The sequence below is a fragment of the Homo sapiens genome, chromosome 21 (assembly GCF_000001405.40).
Source record: "Homo sapiens chromosome 21, GRCh38.p14 Primary Assembly".
Classification (NCBI taxonomy): domain Eukaryota; kingdom Metazoa; phylum Chordata; class Mammalia; order Primates; family Hominidae; genus Homo; species Homo sapiens.
The window spans coordinates 45,971,173-45,977,194 of NC_000021.9; the positions used below are offsets into that span (position 1 = coordinate 45,971,173).

The 6,022-nt window shown below is 61.2% G+C and overlaps 1 long non-coding RNA gene across 1 annotated transcript, besides 3 other annotated features; it reads left to right on the forward strand.

Annotated features, from left to right (window-relative positions):
• Positions 1-1,797: 1,797 nt before the first annotated feature.
• LOC101928796 (uncharacterized) lies at positions 1,798-3,781 on the forward strand. The gene is made up of 2 exons (NR_109931.1): positions 1,798-2,004; positions 2,922-3,781. It is a non-coding gene; the product is annotated as an uncharacterized LOC101928796 (long non-coding RNA).
• Positions 2,176-2,245: a silencer, noted in NCBI's record as "silent region_13412". NCBI's record gives its function as "represses an Ori minimal core promoter by ATAC-STARR-seq in GM12878 lymphoblastoid cells {active_cell/tissue: GM12878}" and the evidence as "EXISTENCE:reporter gene assay evidence [ECO:0000049][PMID:35858748]".
• Positions 2,506-2,555: an enhancer, noted in NCBI's record as "active region_18596". NCBI's record gives its function as "activates an Ori minimal core promoter by ATAC-STARR-seq in GM12878 lymphoblastoid cells {active_cell/tissue: GM12878}" and the evidence as "EXISTENCE:reporter gene assay evidence [ECO:0000049][PMID:35858748]".
• Positions 2,865-3,665: an enhancer, noted in NCBI's record as "H3K27ac-H3K4me1 hESC enhancer chr21:47393951-47394751 (GRCh37/hg19 assembly coordinates)". NCBI's record gives its function as "activates a minimal SCP1, AML or CMV promoter by ChIP-STARR-seq in primed H9 embryonic stem cells {active_cell/tissue: H9 hESC(primed)}" and the evidence as "EXISTENCE:reporter gene assay evidence [ECO:0000049][PMID:30033119]".

The following is a 6,022-nucleotide window of genomic DNA, read 5'->3' on the forward strand; positions in this document are numbered from 1 at the left end:
CACCGCCATCTCCAGAGCCACCATCACCAGTTCTGCCACCCTCGGCCCTCCCTGTCACTGCAGGGCAGCCCTGGACTCGCTCAGACCCTGAGTTCAGACCCTGGGGTGCAGAGGCTGATGGCCCGGCGCTGGCCTCCTGAGCCCTCCTCACCCCTGGGCACTCACTGAGTACTGGGCCTGCTCTCCTGAGGGCAAAAGAGCACCCAACCCCTCCCCCAGCTCTGAAACAACCCTCAGATCCTGATGCTTTTGGGGTCACATGTTTGGGGAGGGAACTGGCAGTAGCCCAGGAGCCCTAGATCACGGAGGTCACCCTGCTGAACGCGAGGGTCTCTGCCTCCCAAGGGTGGGGACTCCAGAGGCCGGGCACCTGGGAGGGCCTTGCTCTGGGCCCTCCGGCCTGGCTGTGGCTGGCACCCTGGGACCCCAGACCCAGCCCAGAGCAGGGATGGCTGCGTCTCGCTCCCAGTTTGTCCTGATCCCAGAGCCTCCAGCCACAGCTCCGTAAGGTGGGCACTGAGATGGCCCTGAGGCCTGGAGGCCCTGAACGGAGATGAGGTCTCTTTCCACAGACCAGCCGCGTTCCCACCGCACCCTCTCTTTGGGGTTTGATTGGCCCAGGGAGTGTGAGTGTTCCTGAGAAGCCCAGATGTTACCCAGGCACTCGGCCCCAGGCTCTGTGACTCCCATGTGGGGACAATGGAAACCAGATGCTGGGAAGCTGGGCTGGGTGGGCGGGCCCCTGGCAGCTGTGTGCTGCGTCCATCTGGACTGGTCTCTGAGCCCCGGGCCTGTGGACCTCGGCCTCATGGGAGCCCCAGCTCTGTCACTGTTACTCCCTCCATCAGCTCCCACCGACAGAGTGGACATTCTCTTGACAACTTGAGAAAACGGAGCTTCTGGGAGCCTGTGTCCCGACCCGAGCTCAGGCAACTAGTGGGTGACAGAGCTGGGACCGCACCCAGTTCTGACTGCCCCAGCTTTCCTGGCACATCCAGCCTGGGGTATACCAGGCAGGATGCCAGCAGTTTCTCTGAGCCACGGTGTGGTCAGGCAGAGAGACGGAGGGTCTGAGTGGCCCCCTACAGATGCTGTGGTCCTGCGTGGAAACCCTCTGGGTGTCTGAGGAGTGGGGTGATGTGGGACTGTGACCACCCATGTTCAGCTCCCTGCAGAGTGGCAAGGAGCCCCCCGCCCCCGTCTCTCTGGGACCCAGCCGGAGTGGGGGCTGCTGGTCTGTAAGGGATCCTAACCCTTTCTTCCCTACTGCCCCAGCCTCGTTAAAACTGCTGCATGCCGGCGGGTGAGCGGGACATGGGGCAGCCCCCGCAGCTGAGCTCCCCACTGCCGGGGGAGGGCCTGTGTGGAGCTCCGAGACCAGGTCCTAGAAGCCCCTGGGCCCTGCCCTGCGCTGCGAAGGGAACCGGGTGTCTGAGCATGGGGCCGGCAGGACCGACAGCATCGGGGCTTGAAACCCAGTGCTCGGGAGCCCGCCCCTCCCCCCACGACCTTTTGGGCCCAGAAGCCATGATGGGGGCACAGAGGAGGGAGTTTCGGGCCCCGGCCCGGGGTGCGGGGTCTCACACAGGGACCCCAGGTCTGAGCTGTGCCACTCGTGCAGCCCTGGCCCTCCGCAGCCTCGGCAACCCCACCCGAGGGCTCCCACTGCTGCCCACAGACATCTCAGGGTCTCCCGGGCCGGGTCAGCGGCGCCGGAACAGGGTCTCCCGGGCCGGGTCAGCGGCGCCGGAAGTGATTCTCGTCAGCAGGAATGCGCTGGCTGCCCGGGAGCCTTCAGGGTGGGCTCTGGGGGCCAGGTGCGGCCTCAGCGCCGTCCCTTCCCGGGAAGCCTCCTCCCTGGGGTCCACGCCGGCTCCTGCTGGCTCCCCCATTCCGCTGAAATCTGAGGAAAAGGCTCTGGGAACGCAGCCAGACTCCCCCACAGCTCAGACGGCTGTAAAGAAATATTCCTGCCAGATGTTCAGAGGCGGAGGCCAGCATGAGGTAACGGGAAAGGCTTAACCCGTCCAGCCCCGCAGCCTCGCAGCCGCCTCCGGGGCCCAGCTCTAGGGGCTGCGGGCCCCGTGCCGTGGGGGACGTCCCTGCCGCGTCCGTGTCCCGGGGGCCGGGCCTGCCTGCGGCGGGAGCCCACCCCGTGCGGTCAGACGGGCTCAGAGCGCTCTTCTGCAGTCTCCAGCCCTCCCTGGAGGGCGTGTTGGACCAGCCCCTGATGGGCGCCCGGGAGCCACGGGATGGGGCGTGATGCCAGCCTGGGAGAGGGATCCACTCGGGGGTCCTCAGGAGGCGGTGCCAGCCCCCGGCATGGCTTGGGGGAGCCTCTGTGTTGCCAGCGCTGGGCAGCCCTGGACCCCCCGCCACCCTTTGCCTCACGGGCCCTGGGTTTCAGGGCAGTGGCCTCTCAACCCAGCGAGATCACAGCGCCATCGAGACAGTCTTTCAGTCTTTTTTTTTTTTTTTTTTTTTTTTTGCGTCTCTTTGAAATGACAGTTCCCAGAACCAGAGCTTCTATGGCGGATTCTCACCAGAAAATGAAATTCTCAGCTTACAGGCAACGGAACAAAATGAAATCAGGCCAATGCACGCGGCCCCGGGAAGCACCAGGGGGCCTCAGCGAGCTCCTGAGTTTCACACTCAGTGCGGGGGTTTCCGCCTCAGCCCCTCTTAGCGGGAGTCACTAAAGGAAACGCAGAGAGGGCGGGAACGCAACCCCAGCACCCTGCGGCTCCCGCCACGGGGTCGCGCCCTCCCTCTGATATCCAGAGCCTGCGGCTCCCAGAGGCGCTCCCGGAACAAACCGGGGCGCGCAGAGCTTTCTTCGCCGCTGTCTGGGGGCCGCAGGACTGTCCCAGGGCCCGTGATTGACGGACCAGTCCCCGGCATTGAGCCTTGTGTCTTTCCAGTTACAGGCGATGCTGCCGGAAACGTGTGTTTTCCTATCTAGGAGTCAGTCTGTCGCAGACCGATTCCTGGATCGCCGAGGTCGCCCACTCTCCCCAGAAGCCTGCTCCCTCCCGACCCGACCGGTGGGAGGCCGCGTCCCCGACGCTTGCCAGGAGCCCCGCCTGCAGCCGAGGCGTCCTCCCCGCGCCGCGGGCTCCTGTGGCAACGGCCGCCTCCCGGCTGGCCTCTTTTCTGCCTTCTGCCTTCCCGTTGGCGACTGGGGAGGCCCGTGGTCAACGAGGCCCCAGCGATCACCTGGGGGACGTCCTGTAGGGAGAGCCTGACTCACAAGGACCAGTGTTGAGCCGTCGCACCCCCGCTTGGGACCAGGATGGGCTGCACTTTCCCCACCCGCGGCCCTGGGACCCGCCCCACCCGAAGCCCGGGGAGATCCAACCGCAGGCTGCCTCCGGCCAGCGGACTCATTCACACTCCGCAAACAGGCTGGGGCCAGACGCCGCCCTGCCCTAGGTGCCCAGCAAACACGCGGGCCAGCCAGACCCCTGGACCTTCACAGGGAGGAGGAGATGGAGATGGGTTCACCCCCCACAAAGGAGGGAGGGGAGGGGATGGCCGCCATGCCCAGGTGCCGGGACAGGAGCCGAGGGCCGCGTGCACCCCTTGGGCCCTTGGAGGGGCCGGCATGTGCCTCTCTGTCCCTGTGCCACTTCCACTGGCCGTACAGGGCCACCACCGCGGAAACCGCATGTGTAACCCCTGGAAACAGGGTCCTCCTTGATGAGTCATGTTCTAAGTTGGGAGGAAAATTCACTGGATAGTGGAGGCAGTAGAAAGAAATAAAAAAAGTCTTTGTTCCACAGATGCTTGGAGGGCTTGGGTCCTCGGTGTTTATAGTGGGTGCCGCCTTCCAACACCACACCCTGGGAGGGAGTCGCCGGACGGCGTTCCGGAAACTCCACAGTCACTGGGGAGGGGGCACGGACAGCCCCCACCACCTGCCCTCCGGGCACAAACGCAGGGCCTGTCCCCTGCCCGTGGGCGCAGCTGTCCTGCTCCCTCCCCGAAGGCACTCGGACTTCTGTGGAAAAAGAGCTTATGGGATGGAAAATCCCTGGATGAGTTTCCTCCCAGCCTTTCCTGGGGGTGGAGGACAGACCTGCAGCCCCGAGCGAGCTCCTGCCAGCGCCTGGAGAGTGGAGGGCGGGGCCCAGTCTCAGCACTGCAGCCGGGCCCTGCGGGGCTAGAAGCACCGTCCCCTCCGCCGTCCACCCTCACTGCGTGGGTCTCGAGGCCTCCTTGTCTAGAAAATTTCCCCAGCTGGGGCCTGGGTTTTTGGAGCCCATGGAGGGCAGGTCCTCCACATCTCGGGTGCCCTGGGTAGGGCAGGGAGGCGACTGACGCGTGGCGCAGAGCTTGGCCGGCCGTGGTGATAGGAGAGGGGGTGGCTGAGAGACCTGGGAGGAAAAAGATTTTTAAAGGGGGAAGTGGGACCCTGCCTTGGGGCTGGGGTTGGGAGTTCCGTGTGGGTGTGGGTGGGGAAGTATCGGGGGACCTGCCCTGATAATCACGTAGGTTCTTTTCTATTTTTCCTAAGCGTCGGCCGGCTTGAGAAATAAAGGGACAGAGTACAAAAGAGAGAAATTTTAAAGCTGGGCATCCGGGGGAGACATCACACGTTGGTAGGATCTGTGATGCCCCACAAGCCGCAAAAACCAGCAAGTTTTTATTAGGGAGTTTCAAAAGGGGAGGGAGTGTGTGAATAGGTGTGGGTGACAGACAGCAAGTACTTAACAGGGTAATAGAATATCACAAGGCCAGTGGAGGCAGGGCGAGATCACAGGACCACAGGACCGAAGCAAAATTAAAATTGCTAATGAAGTTTTGGGCACCACTGTCACTGATAACATCTTATCAGGAGACAGGGTTTTGACATCAACCGGTCTGACCAAAATTTATTAGGTGGGAATTTCCTCTTCCTAATAAGCCTGGGAGCGCTATGGGAGACTGGAGTTTATTTCATCTCTGCAGCCTCAACCATAAGAGACAGGCCCACCTGGGGGGGCTGTTTATAAGCCAATACCTCCAGGTGCGTATTCTCTTTCTCAGGGATATCCCATGCTGAGAAAAAGAATTCAGCGATATTTCTCCCATTTGCTTTTGAAAGAAGAGAAATATGGCTCTGTTCTGCCTGACTCACCTGCGGTTAGAGTTTAAGGTTATCTCTCTTATTCCCTGAACAATTGCTGTTATCCTGTTCTTTTTTCAAGGTGCTCAGATTTCATATTGCTCAAACACACATGCTGTACAATTTTTGTAGTTAACACAATTATTACAGGGTCCTGAGGCAATATACATCCTCCTCAGCTGACAGGATTAAGAGATTAAAGTAAAGACAGGCATAGGAAATCACAAGGGTATTGACTGGGGAAGTGATAAGTGTCCATGAAATCTTTACAATTTATGTTTAGAGATTGCAGTAAAGACAGGCATAAGAAATTATAAAAGTATTAACTTGAGGAACTAATAAGTGTCCATAAAATCTTCACAATCCACGTTCTTCTGCCGTGGCTTCAGCCGGTCCCTCCATTTGGGGTCCCTGACTTCCCACAACAGGGGAGGGGGTACGGTTGGTCCAAAAGGGGAAGGACAGAAGCGGGGCCTGGGCCAGCAGCCCTGGGGCTCCCACCAGCCACCAGCAGCACTGAGTCTCCTCTGCAACTTTCCCTGTGGACAAAGGCAGTTTCCTGGGATGGTCTTTCCTTCCCGTTCCACCACTTTTATGGGTTTAAGAAAACCACTAACACAGGACAGCGGTGGATAATTCCCCTTTTCCCCGCGCTGACGTTTGGAGGCACCAGGGCTCCTCAAGGTGGACTGGGGGGCTCCTCTCCCTGAACGCAGGGTCCTGATGGGGGTGGGGGTGGGGGTGGGGGTGGAGGGCAGGCAGGTTCCAGAAACAGCCCTGCCCTCCCCTGCCTCCCGGGACAGCTTCCTCCACCAAGCCCACCTCATGCTCCATCCTCATCCCCTCTTAGCCAGGTCCTGCTGGAAGAGGAGGCTCGGGTCCACCCGCAGGAGTCAGAGAGGCCCTGCCAGGGAC